This window comes from Homo sapiens, chromosome 4 (assembly GCF_000001405.40).
Source record: "Homo sapiens chromosome 4, GRCh38.p14 Primary Assembly".
NCBI classification, from domain to species: Eukaryota; Metazoa; Chordata; class Mammalia; order Primates; family Hominidae; genus Homo; species Homo sapiens.
In genome coordinates, this window is record NC_000004.12 from 47,559,781 (window position 1) to 47,576,459 (window position 16,679).

Genomic DNA, 16,679 nt, shown 5'->3' on the forward strand with positions numbered 1-16,679 from the left:
CCTGAGGTCAGGAGTTCAAGATCAGCCTGGCTAACATGGTGAAACCCCGTCTCTACTAAAAACACAAAAATTAGCCGGATCTGGTGGTGCATGCCTGTAATCCCAGCTACTCAGGAGGCTGAGACAGGAGAATTGCTTGAACCTGGGAGGCAGAGGTTGCAGTGAACTGAGATTGCGCCACTGCACTCCAGCCTGGACGACAGAGCAAAACTCCATCTCAAAACAAAAACAAAACCAAAAACAAAAAGCCTGCCCCACACACAGTTAAAGGAAGAATGGAGAGTTCAAGATCAAACCAACTCTGCCTTTTCAATTGAATGATCCTACCCTTGATTAAAATGTAGCCCAACAGGTGTCAGATTCTCTCAAATCGAATGACCTGTGGCCAAGAATAAGTAGGCAGAGAGGGGAATTGCCTCACCTGCTTTACTCCACTCTGCTTTATAAAAACTGAAATGTAGATTTCTCTTTCTATGGCAACCTAAAGACAAAGGAAAATATATTATTGATCACTTCCCCAGGAATTTCATTCAATTTTTCTTTGGAATAAGACTTGTTTCACCCATAGGGCCCTTCTCTTTTTACCATTCATTAACCACATAAAATAACCATCAAAGGAGAATGGCGTGAACCTGGGAGGCGGAGCTTGTAGTGAGCCGAGATCAGGCCACTGCACTCCAGCCTGGGCCAGAGCGAGACTCTGTCTCAAAAACAAAAACAAAACAAAACAAACAAACAAAAAAAACATCAAAAGGTATGAAAGGTGCTGCTGGTTACAGAATCCTTCGAACTAAACAGTCCTGATACCACTTTCTCAACTGCACCATTAGAATCAAACTGGATTTAACTGTCAATTGGAGACCACTCCCAACTGCATACTTTCTGATTTAATTAAAGACATTAACCCACTGTCATCATATATGGTGCCTAGAATTTCCAGAGATGCTGAGTTAAAGGGTCATCCATCATCAGTGTTGCACTAGTCTGACCACAGAGTTTGGGAAGCTAGTGTCCAGGTGGTGTGAGGATATGGATCTGACATGGCTGTGCCCAGAGGGAGGAATATGTAAAACAAGTTGATGGTTTGATATTTTGCCAGAGGTCAGTCCTGGTATTCCCACAAGATCATATGGCTTGCTTCATACCTCTCTTTTAATTCTTCCCGTAGGTCATGAGTGACACTGAATATGCAGAGTGGCTGAGGAATCATTTTTTAGCTGAAACCAGCATTGACAACAGGGAAGAATTACTACTTGAATCTGCCATGAGGTTGGAGAACAAACTTACATTACTTGGTAGGTGAATTATGTTTGTATTGCCTGAATGGAGGATTTTGAAAAACACTGGATATCTTTGAATAAGGGTTATTTTCTTCCATTGTTATCTAATAAACATATATGGTTCTGCCTACCCTGTCCAGTCTGATCTCTATCCAACTTCCAATCCATTCTATTCTGTTGTCCACTGCAGTGAACTAGACTTCACTTGTGATGGGGTCAGGATGGTCACCCCAAGAAGATCATGTAAAATCCAACACTTAACATAGACTACAAAGCCAAGTAAATGTTCCAATAAATATCTTGGTTCAAATCAAGATAAATATCAAGAATAGAGTTTCTTGTCAGGCATTGGATAAGGTGCTTAATACGTGTTATCTTTTTTTTGAATTCTCACAACAAATCTCTATCTTATGTAGAGGAAATTTGGGGCACAGAGCAGTTCAATGACTTGTTCAAGGTCACATGCCAGTAGCTGACAGTTACTCATTAACCAAACATGGAGCTCATGTTTGCCTGGCTCCAAGCTTTTTATCCTGCACCTGCTACTGGACTAAGGAAATTTATTTTTCTTCTCTTCCTGATTTCAACTAAAATTGCACAACTGACCCCTCTTGTCTTGGATTAAACTGCATCTTAGAATTATCTGAAGCACTTTAAAAAATATTGATGCCTGCATCCTATCCCCTGAGATTCTGATTCAAGTGATCTGTTGTGTGGCTTGGGCATTGGAATTTTTTAAAGCTCCCTAAAGTGATGCTAAAGGCGGTCAAGTTTGAGAACCACTGTCTTAGAGTCTGGAGATCTAGATTCTAATATAAGCTCTGATATACCAAGATACCAGCTTCTGAGCTCCATTCCTCTATTTAGGAGGAAAACATTGACCTAACTTAGTATCTAGCAAATAGAGCAATGATGCCTACCCTAAGTGATTTCTCTGTGACAGTGTAAGTAGTATAGGTCCACATTTCCTCATCTGTGATTCCAAAATCAAAAATGCTCCATGGGTTTAGTGCCAAAACTCATTTGGCAGAAAAATCATACCTGATTTGATATAAGACTATTTATAGTTATTATCCTAATTTAGGTGAACATTTGTCAGTTTTCCTGCAGAAATATTAATATGCTTGATTAACAAGTATTATAGAATATGGTATATGCACCATATTACTTTTTTAATATCTGAAAAATGTTTGAATTCCAAAACACATATGGCCCCAATTGTTTCAGAAAAGGGAACTGTAGACCCATGAAAGAACACTGCAAATAGACATTGTATCTTACTGGCAGGAGCATTCTTTAAAAGCCTGCCCTTTAAAGGACATGAACAGACATTTTTCTAAAGAAGACAACAACAAGTGGCCAACAAACATGAAAAAATGCTCAACATCACTAGTTATCAGATGCAGACAAATGCAAATTAAAACCACAATGAGATACCATCTTACACCAGTCAGAATGTCTGTTAAAACGTCAGAAGACAACAGATGTTGGCAAGGATGCAGAGAAAAGGGAACGCTTATATACTGCTGGTTGGAATGTAAATTAGTACAACCTCTATGGAAAACAGTGTGGAGATTCTCAAAGAACTGAAAATGGAATTACCGTTCAATCCAACAATCCCACTACTGGGTATCTACCCAAAGGAAAAGAAATCATTATATCAAAAAAGTACCTGCAATCATAGGCTTATCACAGCACTGTTCACAATAGCAAAGTCACAGAATCAGATTTCTAAGTGTCCACCAACAAACGATTAAAGAAAATGTGATATAATATATATATATACACACACACACACATATATACACAATGGAATCCCACTCAGCCATAAAAAAGAATGAAATTGTGTCTTTTGCAGCAACATGGATGAAACTGGATGCCATTATCTTAAGTGAAATAACCCAGAAACAGAAAGTCAAGTACCACACGTTCTCACTTATAAGTGAGAGCTAAATAACATGTACACATGGACATGGAAAATGAAATAGTAGACATTGGAGACTCAGAAAAGTGGGAGGATAGGTCGGGGAGCAAGGGATGAGAAATTACCTAACAGGTACAATTTACACTATTTGCATGATGGTTACACTGAGAGCCCAGATTTCACCCCTACACAATATATCAGTGTAACAAAACTGCGTTTGTGCCCCCTAAGTCTATAATAATAAAAATAAAATCCCACCCTTATCCTTGGGAATATCATAGAATTATAAAATTGTAGTGTAAGGTTGCATAAATAATTGACTCAAATCCCTTCAATTTACAGATAAGAAATCTAGCCAAAAGGAGAACGAGTAAGTTTGATAAATCCATTGATCCCTGAGGCTTCCTTCCCAAAATATTACATTGCATATAATTTTGGTCTGGGTCGTCAAACCTCCTTTGACTCTCCTGAGCAGCTGGGCAGTTTATGTAGTGTAGGGTTGAGTTGGCTAACAGATATGATTCAACTGTAGACTAGCTGAGCTTCAGCTGGCTTTGGTTTCTTACAAGTCCTATTGCACTTTGGTTATTTTTTAGGTGCTACTGGCATTGAAGACCGTCTGCAGGAGGGAGTCCCTGAATCTATAGAAGCTCTTCACAAAGCGGGCATCAAGATCTGGATGCTGACAGGGGACAAGCAGGAGACAGCTGTCAACATAGCTTATGCATGCAAACTACTGGAGCCAGATGACAAGCTTTTTATCCTCAATACCCAAAGTAAAGTGCGTATATTGAGATTAAATCTGTTCTTCTGTATTTTCAAAGGCATTGGAACATTTGAGATTTGATGTATGCAAGGATTAAAAAAAAAACAAAACAGCAACCGTTAGCTTTTTTTGTTGTTTGTTTGTTTGTTTTGGTTTTTTTGAGACGGAATCTTGCTCTGTCACCCAGGCTGGAGTGCAGTGGTGCAATATCTTGGCTCACTGCAACCTCCACCTCCCAGATTCAAGCAATTCTGCTTCAGCCTCTCAAGTAGCTGGGATTACAGGCATCTGCCACCACGCCTGGCTAATTTTTGTATTTTTAGTAGAGACGGGGTTTCACCTTGTTGGCCAGGCTGATCTTGAACTCTTGACCTCAAGTGATCCGCCAGCTTTGGCCTCCCAAAGTGCTGGGATTACGGGGTGAGCCACTGTGCCCTGGCCAGCAACCATTAGCTTCTTGATAATTTTTTCTATCCAGAAACCTACCTTGTGCTTGGAAGGATGTCTATTCTTCTAAAGGCCTGATGGAAAATTATAATGATTCAGAGGAATCATTGCTGAATAAAGGCATTAGAAGAAAGTTTTTTTTTTTTATTTGCTTTCCCCCCTCCACACTGGATTACCAGGGATCTGACAGGACTTAGCCCAAAATGAGAAAATATATCAAGTCCTGGTACAGGAATCTACCTCCCTTTTAAGATAAGAAAAAGTGATAGTTTTTATTGAAATCAGGTGAATAAATTATTAAATATTTTATGGCAATTCTAAAAATAGACTCAGGGAAATCGTGCCCTCTTGTGGTAATTCCTAGGTAGTGCTCCCGAGAATATCATAAGTTTGAAGAACTGTTTAAGGGAAGAGGAAAATGTCATTTTTTAAAAAAGAAGGAAATTTAGGAGGCTTAGACTCAGCCCAGTTTTTTCTATTTTTGCCTCCCGCTAATCTCTAACACCAATGTTTAATCAGATAAATAAGGGTTTTATTTTTCTCAGAAGCCTTCCAGTATAGTGATCCCCTCCAAGATTTGTGCACATTGTTTATTTTTCTTGAAAAACTTCCTCCCATTCTTCTTCAGCAGTCAGACTTAACCAGTGATATCAATCCCATCACTGCAGTCTGCCTTCTTTGAAATCTTGTGGAGCTTTTCTTCAGGATCACTTCTTGAGCTTTGCCTGCTCAAGGCTGCCATGATTGGTTAACATGTTTTCGTTTGTTTATTTGTTTGTTTGTTTGTTTGTTTTGAGGCAGCCCAGGCTGGAGCGCTATGGCGCGATCTCGGCTCACTGCAAGCTCCGCCTCCCGGGTTCACGCCATTCTCCTGCCTCAGCCTCCCGAGTAGCTGGGACTACAGGCTCCCGACACCACGCCCGGCTAATTTTTTGTGTATTTTTAGTAGAGACGGGGTTTCACCGTGTTAGCCAGGATGGTCTCGACCTCCTGACCTCGTGATCCGCCCGCCTCGGCCTCCCAAAGTGCTGGGATTACAGGCGTGAGCCACCGCGCCCGGCCTGGTTAGCATGTTTTTATGGTCAGACCTCAACCAGCACTCAGCTAAATGGTACATTTTGAGAAAAGGGAAAAATAGAGTGGGTTCCCCTTTACGGTGGCCCAGTGACCCATAACCACAACCACCAGCCAACTCCCAGTAGCTGCAGGGGGCAGAACAGAAGAAAATGCTTAGTCATTTCAGTCACCAAAAGAATGTAGCCTAGGTGGCTGGTAAGACTAGGGATCAAATGCTTGGCCTGCCGCTGACTGAGTATGTGGCCTTAGGGAGTTACTTACCCTCCTGTGCCGCTTTTTCTTTACTCATAATGGGAGAGTAATGACTGTTTAATGGGGTTTTTGTGAGCATTAAATGAAAAAATATAAATTGTTTAATGCGGTGCCTATCAGATGAGAGGGGTTCAGTAAGCATTAAAAAAGAAAAATAGAGATTGTTGTGAACAGTAAAATCTTTAGGACTGTGAAATTCATTTATAATGCAATATATCCATATAAAAAAATTACACTTATACCCTTAAATTTATATAAATAAAAAAATTATTTATAAATACACAATTTATCTTATGTTTAAAGGCATTTAAAACTATCGATTCAAGAAGTATTTACTGAGTACCTATAATTTTTTTGCTATCGATAGCTATTCCACATGTGTGAATTTTCCAAATAACTAAACAGAATACAACAAACATAATTTAGTTTTATCACAACTCAAGATAAAAAGCCAGGCACATAGTATGGGCTCAGTCACTAGTATTTAACTCTTTTCTTTCCACCTCCCACTCCTAGTCCCTCAGGAATCACTAAGAGTTTAAAAGGACTTGAAGATCATGGAGCCCAGTGTGTCACTTAGTGAAGGAATTGCTCCTATAACATTCTAAGCAGGCAATGTGGCAGCCAGTGGAATGTCTGAAGTTACTTTTGTGTCATCTTTACAAATTTCCATCAACGTTGTTCTTCAATTTACAAATTAGATTATAAGTGTTGCCAGTTGCAAACTTTACCTTTTACTCTCATAAAAGTTTTTTTTCTTCATTTGTTTTAATATAGTCATATCCTGTTTGTAACTAGTTACTGCATTGGAATATACAAAGGCCTTTCAGGATTGGTCATTTAATTTTTTAAGTTTTATTTTTGTAATTTCATTTAAATTTTTCTCCTCAGATTGGTAACTTTCTATCTTCATAATTTATATTAGAATCTACAAAAAGGCTTTCCATACCTGATCTCATTTGACAATTACAACAAATAGACATAGAAGATAAATTATCTGTTTTATAACCTGAGACTCCAAATGCTTGTGATTTCTCTAAGTACAGCTGATTACTAAACTTTAAATTTTCTGATTCCCATTACAGTATATTTTCTAATTATATATTACATATTACATATATACAGTTGATTCTCCTTATTTGTAGAGTTATAGTTTATGTAGTTGCCCCGAGCTCTGAATTAGCAAACACTGACCACTGCTTTTAGAGGAGATACAAAGTTAGCTTCCTCTGATTACAACATACTGTCAACAATCAATACATGACCTTGTTTCTTCTGAAATGTACCTTATTTAATATGCATATTAATGATTCATTAACGTTAAATGCATTGCCAACAGACTGTAACTTATACCCAAACAAAGCTTATCTAACATGGGTAAGTTCCCCCCATAGGACACATCACAGCCTTTTTTGCTTGGAAACACTGCAGCCCATGATTGGGAGTCATTTTAAACAGCAAAATCACTGACAAAAAGCAGAAAGATGCAAAAAATATGGCACCAAATAGCCCATGAAAAGAAGACTTTGCTACAGTTTGAGAACTGGCAAAAGAAGGCATCATGGTGTTCAGCTTCAGCTGGGAATGGGCATATCACATGACTTAAATGTCACTCTATGCATGTGACACTCAAATGTCACTCTATGACATGTAACCACAAAAACATCTCAAGTATTGTGAAATTACAGATAAATTTTATCAAGTAGGAGAATTCACAAATGTGGAATCCACAGATAATGAAGATTAGCTGTGTGTGTGTATGCATACTTCTGTTATTTTTATAATGAAAAAAATAGTTAATTTGTAAAACCTAAACACATACTCAAATAAATAGAAGAGTACAAAACCCTTTATAATCAATTTATAATCATAAAACTACAATTTAAAATCATATTTTGGAGAATATCCACACAGACTGTATTCTGTATACTGTAAGCATATTGGTGCCACAAAGACTATATTTATGTTATTGTATGGTATTGCAGCTGTATTCTTTCAATTACAATACCTTAAACACAATCTGATGTTAATGTTTTCAATGATTGCGAGGCATGTTACTTTCTAAATGTGCCATTTTAATTTAACCAAACTCCAAAAGAGTTTTAAAAATAATTTTTACTATGATGTAATGAGCTGTATGAGCATATCTGATTCATCTTTGTATACTTTGCCTTAAGGGCTTTGGAGGTGTATGGGATCAAATTCATTCCTAAAATGGAGCCCTGTGAACACTCCACAAGAGTGTTTATAGTTTTTGTGCTGTTTCATGTGCACATGTCCATATCTACTTCTTCCTTGCTTTTCTTATTTTGTTGTAGGTTGAGAAATGCTTGATAAAACAGCATTTAAAATCAAAGCAAACAAGCTTTGAGTGAGAGCTCTTTCACGAATAAACTATTTCAGACTTAGTGTATAAACTAAACTTAAATTCACTGCTCTGGATTTGGAATTTGTTCTTAGTGATCACTTGACACAGTAATTTCTGGATAAGCTTATTGTTCATCTTCTTGAGTAGAATTCATTCAGTGAATGTTTACTGAGTACCTGATGTGATCCTCTTTTAAGCCTCATGAAGACTTCAAAAGTAAATTAAAAGTGATAACTGCCTTTAAAGAACTTCCTAACTAGTGTGGAGTGAGGATGTATGCAAAGGAGACGTGATAAGTACCACAAAGAACATCCTGGCCAGAATGCAAGTGCCATGAGGGCAGGAATTTTCATGTTTATTGGTGTAGCTCCAGCTCTTAGAATGTTTTCTAATATATAGTTTCTCATTAAATAGTTAGTGAGTGAATGAATACGTTGAATCAAAAAGAAGATAAAAGCAATAATTACTATTTCAAATGCCTGCCATGTGTCATGCCTTACACTAGGAGTTTTGCCTGTATTATTTTGCTTAATCCTCACAACAAGATTATGATGGAAATAATATTTGCATATTTTTAATGAGAAAGTTAAGGCTTAGAGAGGTTACATAGTTTGCCCAAGGTCAAGCAGCTAATAATTGGCAGAATGAGACCAGAGGACTCTTGGGATTCACTGTTCAAGAAGGCAAATTGCACACATGAAGAAATTTCACAGCTATTTCTTTATAAGAAATACTGGTGAGATGTTCCCCCTCCTTTTAACCCATCCCCACATACACACAGAACTCTCTGTGGAAGACTCGTAAAATCTTTGAAAATAATCAGTTATTCATTATTTGAGGTTTTCTTGATTCAGCAATTGCTAAAAAATGACAATAAAAAATGTAACTGGTTCTGACACCAAGGGCGCCTGGAGGCTAACCACCTTTGCCTCTTGTTTCAAGGATGCCTGTGGGATGCTGATGAGCACAATTTTGAAAGAACTTCAGAAGAAAACTCAAGCCCTGCCAGAGCAAGTGTCATTAAGTGAAGATTTACTTCAGCCTCCTGTCCCCCGGGACTCAGGGTTACGAGCTGGACTCATTATCACTGGGAAGACCCTGGAGTTTGCCCTGCAAGAAAGTCTGCAAAAGCAGTTCCTGGAACTGACATCTTGGTGTCAAGCTGTGGTCTGCTGCCGAGCCACACCGCTGCAGAAAAGTGAAGTGGTGAAATTGGTCCGCAGCCATCTCCAGGTGATGACCCTTGCTATTGGTGAGTGAGGATGAATCTGAGTCCTGCTCTTCTCCCTTTCACACCACACCAGACACCGATCCTTCTGTCTCTTTCTTCTCCCACTGTTCCTTCCATTTTCCTCCTCCCTTTTTCTCTACCACATTCATGCCTTCCCATCACCTATTTGAGCACCTTCCTCCATCACCTATTTGAGCACCTTCTGTGAACCAGGTAATAGGGATGTGACATGGTAAACAATACAGTAGTCCAGACTTCTTAGTTCAGTGTCAGACCCCCAAATCAACAAGCTTAAATCAAGTAATAAACTGAATCACAGAACTGAAAAATCCATGTGTTCTACCTTCAGGAAAGCTAAATTCAAGGACATGAGAATTCATTTCTTTATCCATTCCACAAGTATTTATCAAGTGCCTTTTTTGTACCAGGCATTTTTCTAAGGAATGGAGATACAAGAGTATATAAAATTGGCAAACTACCTTTTTACAAGGAACTTACATCTAGTAGGAAGGCATGCAGTAAAACAAAGCATAAATCTGTAAGGTATCAGGTAGTGATAAGTACTATTGAAAAAATAAAGTGGAATGAGGACACGTAGAGCACTGGAGATGGGCTGGGGCTGCTCTTTTAAATACGATTTTCAAAGAAGGTCTCACTGCTAAGGTTGACTGTGAGCAGAGATGTGAAGGAAATCATAAAGGGGCCATGGGAGACATGGAGAAGAACATTTCTGGAAGAGAAGACAGTGAAAATGAAAGCCATGAGGGGAACCGTGTTTGGTGTGTCGGAGGACAAAGCCGATTAAGCAAAGGGAGGTGTTTTCTGCGGGTTATTAAAGGCCAGAGAAGCAGCAGAGGGCCAGATCACATAGGGTCTTAGAGGACATTATAAAATTAGGGAGCCATTGAAGGATTTTGAGCTGGAGTGGGACATGATTTGCCTTAAATTTAAAATGATCATGTTGGCTGTTCTGTCAGAGTAATTGTTGGACTGCAAAGACATATGAAATCAGTTGGAATAATTCAGCAAGAGATGATGGCAGCTTGGGCACAGCTGGGAGCAAAGGAAGGGTTGGGACGTGGTCAGATGAAAAATGGGCATGGTCTGAAAAAAGACCCAGAGACATTTGCTGGCATATTGGATATGTTATATGAGAGAAAGAGTTGTCATAGGGAACGCCAAAGTTATGTCTAAGAACAGAAAGAACAGAGCTGCCATTTACTGAGATAGAGGCAGGGGAAATTGGGAATTGGGTCTTACTCATGTGAAGTTTGAAAAGGCCATTAAATATCTAAGCAGTGATGTCAGGTAGGAAGTGAGAATAAAAGTCTGGAATTTAGGAATAAGAAATTGGCTAGAGATATAAATTTGAGAATCAGAAGTCTAGTGGGTATCAGGCCAGGTACAGTGGCTCACGCCTGTAATCCCAGCACTTTGGGAGGCTGAGGTGGGTGGATCACTTGAGGTCAGGAGTTCGAGATCAGCCTGGCCAACATGGTGAAACTCCACCTCTACTACAAACACGAAACTTGGCCAGGCCTGGTGGTGGGATCCTGTAATCCCAGCTGCTAGGGAAGCTGAGGCAAATAGTCACTTGCACCCGGGAAGCGGAGGTTGCAGTGAGCTGAGATTATGCCACTGAATTACAGCCTAGGAGACAGAGCAAGATTCTGTCTCAAAAAAAAAAAAGAGAAATAAAAGAAAAGAAAAAAAGAGTCTAGTGGATATCAAAGCCTTGACACCAAAGAATGAGTATAACTGAAGAGAATTGTAGTATGAGATTAAGATCTCAGAGACTCCAGTGTTAAACTGAGGACTTGGCATATCAGCTCTCTCTTTCTATGTCTGTTTTCCCTCTGGACTGCTTCCAGTCTCAGGTAAATTTTCCCCTCAGGGTGGTGATGTAGCCACTAAAACTCCTGGGTTTCCATCCTATCCTATTAACAACTTGGGTGAAAAGATAGCATCACTTTTCAGATTGCTGCAGTAAAGTTTCAGGATTAAGGTGGAATTTTGTTCAATTATCTTGTTGAATAAACAGATAAATAAATGAATTATTCAAGCTTATGGATCCAGATGTTTCCAAAGCAAAAACTCCTGGATTTATAATTATAGATAACATAATTATAACATAATTATATTATAATTTATTACATTATAATTATATTTATCATATACATTATATATAATACTTATAATTTATATCATGCATTATGTAATATATAACAATTATATTATAACTTATAATAATATTAATTAATTGGAGTCATATGTCCATTTCTGAACCAATTACTGAGGCCAGGGAATAGAAGATGCTGATTGTACAGATCTGGGACACTTGCTTACCTATAAATATGGAGGTTTGGGTTCACCCTAACAAACCACATAAACTAAGAATTTCCAAGGAAAACCAGTATACCTTTACTGAAAAACAGGTGAATTGTTGGTGATCAGTTGTTCATTACCAGCAGGAATGTGGTACCTCCTCCTAAGAAGCTTCCTGTGTTGGGGGAGACCAGTAAGTCTGTATGCAACCATGATACTGTGTGATAGGTGTGCTAGAGATACATAGGGTGGTGCTGAAGCCTTATGAAAGGGCATCTGATCTTTAAAAAAAGTATGAGAAGGATTTCCCAGAGGAAATGACATCTAAGCTGAGAGCAAGAAAAATTGAAATCCAGAAAAATGAGCTGGGGGTGATCAGGACAGTGTTGTTATCATGTGCGTGGCTACAGGGAGAAGGGTGTATCTGGAGAGTTGAAAGTAGCATGAATGACATGAAAAACAAGATCAGTCTGGGTAGGTGCCATAGCGTGAAGGAGTTTAAAGCGGTGTTGAGTTTGGAATTCTTCCTGATGGCAGTGGGATGCCACTTCATTTCTGTTTCACTTACTTCCAGGAAACTTGGAGAACGGGATGAACTTTGAAGGATTTATTTGTTCACTTGAGCTGCCCCTATTGATTTGCAACATTTACACCCTTTCTTTACTCCTCATATGTTTCTCTCCTTTTTTTCTGCCTCATGAAGGTGATGGTGCCAATGATGTTAGCATGATACAAGTGGCAGACATTGGGATAGGGGTCTCAGGTCAAGAAGGCATGCAGGTGAGTGGATATTGTGCACCCAAGTTCTGTGGCCTTGACCTGCCCATCCAAAGGCAGCATTCTCCATGGTAAATTCTCTGTGGCAGAGTGAGGCTGTGTGTGGCTAGCTGAGGAGTGGGAGACAGGAAGTTTACCTATCTATTCATTGATTTTTTTTTACTAGGTGAGTATTATGGCATTTTCCTGGGTAATTTTAGCTGTATTATTCACTTGTTAAAAATAGAGCTTATCTAAAATCACAGGAATATATATTTTAGTCCTGCAATGGCTGCGTAAATTCTGACTCTGAAGAAGCTACTAAGGATTTGAATGAAGGACCTAAAGATCTTGAGGCAGGAGACCGAGGGAAAAAAAGGGAAAGAAGAGGAAATGAGAGGAGAAGGAAGGAAGTGGGAGTGTCCTATTTGTGCGCACGTGTGTGTGTGTGTGTGTGTGTGTGTGTGTGTGTGTTGGATGGTATTTTAGGCACAAAATTCAGATAAAAGCTCATAATCCAAAAAACTGATTTTCATTCATGTATGGAACAAATGCGGTCAGAAGAAGGTAGAATATGAGGCCTAGGGTTTCCCAAGAATTGTGCTGTGTCTGTTCTAACATGTTTGATCACTCAGGATGGCATTCTCTCCCCATTGCATCTGCAGGCTGTGATGGCCAGTGACTTTGCCGTTTCTCAGTTCAAACATCTCAGCAAGCTCCTTCTTGTCCATGGACACTGGTGTTATACACGGCTTTCCAACATGATTCTCTATTTTTTCTATAAGAATGTGGTATGTAACCCCAGAGAATTTGTCCCTTTTCCCTTCGTACCTTCCAAGACTGTTGCATCAGGGATGAAGACGAAGTGTCCTATGCTAAGCTCACTTTCCTTATTGATGTATTGGGAACAGCCAGGACTGGTCTTGCTGTCTTTCCAGAACTAAGCTGGGAATGTGCTATGTTTCAGCTGCTGACAGCAAATTGCCAGGCTTGTCCATCTGCTAACATTTTCTACTCCCTGTGCATTTAAATTAAGTCCTGTCTGTTTCATTTAAAATCCAGTTTTTGACCTTCCATAAAAAAGGCTGTGACAAGAAGAATTATGAAATGTTTAATGCTGTCAGTACAGAAAGAAAAGGTTTGCATCCGTTTTACTGGAAATACCAAAAAATATCAGCTCTTCCAAATTAATGCCCCATGTGTTATAATAAAGACACAGATACAGATGAAAACCTAGTATGTCTTAGCGTGTAGCTGGCTGTTGCTCACAGATGCAAGAATTCTCTAGCCAACCTATAAAATGTATTTGTGCTCAGTAGTTATTTAATGATAAAGGAACTAGATTTTGATTCTATAATTCCTAAAAGGGCAGAATTTGATTAGAAATCCAGGCCTCTAATCTTCAGCCTGCTATTTCAATTTCAGTTTCCTTTTTTTATAAAATCATACGTAATCAGACGTAAGTATCTTCTAAGTGGGGTAATTATGTAAATATCATGAATTTTAGGCCAAATTCACTCTTAGTCTTTAAAGTCCATATGTAGTATGTTAGTAGTAGACATGGGTTGATGTCACTCTATTAAAATACCATTTTTAGGGGAAAAAAAGCCATTTTTAGGAGATCCCAAATGTGTAATTTAGAACTCTGTGTGCACATGTATGTCCATCAGTAGGAACATTTTTTTTTTTCCTATAGCACAGTACACTTTTCAGGAATCTCTCAAGACTTTACTGATTAGAATTAGTGCAGTTAGTCAAAGTTCAGTAAAACTCAGATACTTTAGGAAAATATTTGAAATGTATAAAATCTCTGCCTGAGTATGTGCTTCTAGGGAAAACTGCAGCTTGTAATTTACAATTCTAGAACTTAGTGGTCAATGGCTTTTAAAGAGAAGCCCCTCTCCCAAGTTTTTATTTTAAACCTTTGCATTTGTTCACCTTCTCCCCTATTGTGGCAATATCCATTCACCTCCTCACCTCCTTTTAACTCCAGATTGAATCCAACAGTAAAGAAATACTAGTATTAGGAGGATATGGTATACACTCTCGAAGAGAGGGAGTGTTGGTTAGTAGACAGAATCAGGACCTCGGTGATCTTCCTGCTCTATAATCCTTGAGTGGCCATTCATACTGATAATCTCCAGACTTAATTGATATCTCTTATTTACCTAGCTAAACAATGCATATTTTATGTGCTATGCAAAGGTCTTGGACCAGAAGCCATTAGAGTAGCTTATCTTTCTGAGACCATGGTTCTTGGATGTTGGACAACCTTTGAGGTGCCAGTGAAGACTATGGATTCATTCCCCCAGAATAGCACCCCAAACCACAAACAATACATTTTCAGAAACTGGTCCTGATCCATGTCCATAGATGCTAGACTAAGAAAATCTATTCTGGCCAGGTGCGGTGGCTCACGCCTGTAAGCCCAGCACTTTGGGAGGCCGAAGCAGATAGATCACGAGGTCAAGAGATCAAGAAATTCAAAATCTAGTCTAAGGATTGTGGCCCTTGTCCTGAGGTTCTAGTGTATCTATGATGACAATAATTTTTTTTTTTAATGAGACACTTTACAGATCATGACTACTTTCTTGTTTGTGTGTTTGATTTTTGAGACAGGATCTCACTCTGTCCCCCAGGCTGGAGTGCAGTGGCATGATATCAGCTCACTGCAACCTCTGCCTCCCGAGGTCAAGCTAACCTCCCGCCTCAGCCTCCTGAGAAGCTGGGCCTAAAGGCACGCGCCACCATACTTAGCTAATTTCTGTTTGGTTTGGTTTTTTTTGCGGGGGGAGAGACAGGATTTCACCATGTTGGCTAGGATGGTCTTGAACTCCTGACCTCAAGTGATCTGCCCACCTTGGCCTCCCAAAGTGCTGGGATTACAGGCATAAGCCACTGCATCCGGCCGATGATGACCATTTTCTAACTTGATCTTGATACTAAGCCCTAAGGTAGTATAACTCTCATTTTACAGAGGAGGAAATAATAATTCAGGGTGGTTAGGGCAATGACCTAAAGGCAAAGAATCAATTAGAAGTATCCCCCAGCCTTGAGACAAAACTCTCTCTAAGTCCAATGTCCTTTCCTGTGGCCTGCCCTCCTTGGGAGCACAGAGCTTTTTATAGTGAACTTAGTTTGTCTGAGACAAAATACTACAGGAAACCATGTAGAATGCCTGTGCCTGGACTCTAGGGTCACCAACTATCCTGGTTTTCCTGAGAGTGTCCCGGTTTTAGCACTGGGCATCCCAAGGCCTGGGAAACCCCTCAGTCCCAAGCAAGCTGGGATGGCTGACCACTCTGCTGGCACCATTCCATTTCACCGCTATGTATTTATGAACCCAGAAGGCAAGAAAATGGACATTTGTGCTGTGCCTACTCCATGTCTGTGCCAGGCACTGGGCTAGATTCTCTTCATCTAGTGTTGAATCCTTCAGTTTGAATACTGGTTCTGCTACTTATTAGCCATGTGGCTTTGGGCAAGTTTCTTAGTCTCTCTGTGCCTCAGTATCTTAGTCTGTTCAGGCTGCTGTAACAAAGTACCACAGACAGGTGGCTTGTAAACAACATTTCTTCCCCACTATTCTGGAGGCTGGAAATCCAGATGAGGGTACCAGAATGGTCAGGTTCTGGTGCGGGTTTTCTTCTGGATTGTAGATTTCTCATTATATCCTTACATAAAAAGAGATGAGATGATGAGAGCTCACTGGGGTCCCTTTTTTTTTTTTTTTTTTTTTTTTTGAGACGGAGTCTCGCTCTGTCGCCCAGGCTGGAGTGCAGTGGCGCGATCTCGGCTCACTGCAAGCTCCGCCTCCCGGGTTCACGCCATTCTCCTGCCTCAGCCTCCCAAGTAGCTGGGACTACAGGCGCCCGCCACTACGCCCGGCTAATTTTTTGTATTTTTAGTAGTGACGGGGTTTCACCGTTTTAGCCGGGATGGTCTCGATCTCCTGACCTCGTGATCCACCCGCCTCGGCCTCCCAAAGTGTGGGGTCCCTTTTATAAAGAAACTGATTCCATTCATGAGGTCTCCAATGTCATGGCCTAATCACCTCCCAAAGGTACCACCTCCTAACACTGTCACAGTGGGGATAGTGCTCTGTGCTCTCAAGTAGGGCAGACCACAGGAAAGGACATTGGTCTTAGATAGAGGGAGTTTTGTTTCAAGAGGATTTCATATAAATTTTGGGATTAACATTCAGTTGATTACACTTAATTAAATTAACATTCAGTTAATTACACTTAATTTCC

General features: G+C 39.7%; 1 protein-coding gene across 1 annotated transcript in view, besides 1 other annotated feature; it reads left to right on the plus strand.

The window, feature by feature from the left end:
* The window catches only part of ATP10D (ATPase phospholipid transporting 10D (putative)), a 108,212-nt gene that overhangs the window by 74,506 nt on the left and 17,027 nt on the right, over positions 1 to 16,679 (plus strand). Inside the window, exons 14-18 of the mRNA NM_020453.4 lie at positions 1,169 to 1,295; positions 3,801 to 3,985; positions 9,057 to 9,366; positions 12,374 to 12,450; positions 13,092 to 13,217. Of these exons, the coding sequence (NP_065186.3) occupies positions 1,169 to 1,295; positions 3,801 to 3,985; positions 9,057 to 9,366; positions 12,374 to 12,450; positions 13,092 to 13,217 (825 nt within the window). The remainder of the gene's footprint in view (positions 1 to 1,168; positions 1,296 to 3,800; positions 3,986 to 9,056; positions 9,367 to 12,373; positions 12,451 to 13,091; positions 13,218 to 16,679) is intronic.
* Positions 5,463 to 5,652: a silencer, noted in NCBI's record as "silent region_15400". NCBI's record gives its function as "represses an Ori minimal core promoter by ATAC-STARR-seq in GM12878 lymphoblastoid cells {active_cell/tissue: GM12878}" and the evidence as "EXISTENCE:reporter gene assay evidence [ECO:0000049][PMID:35858748]".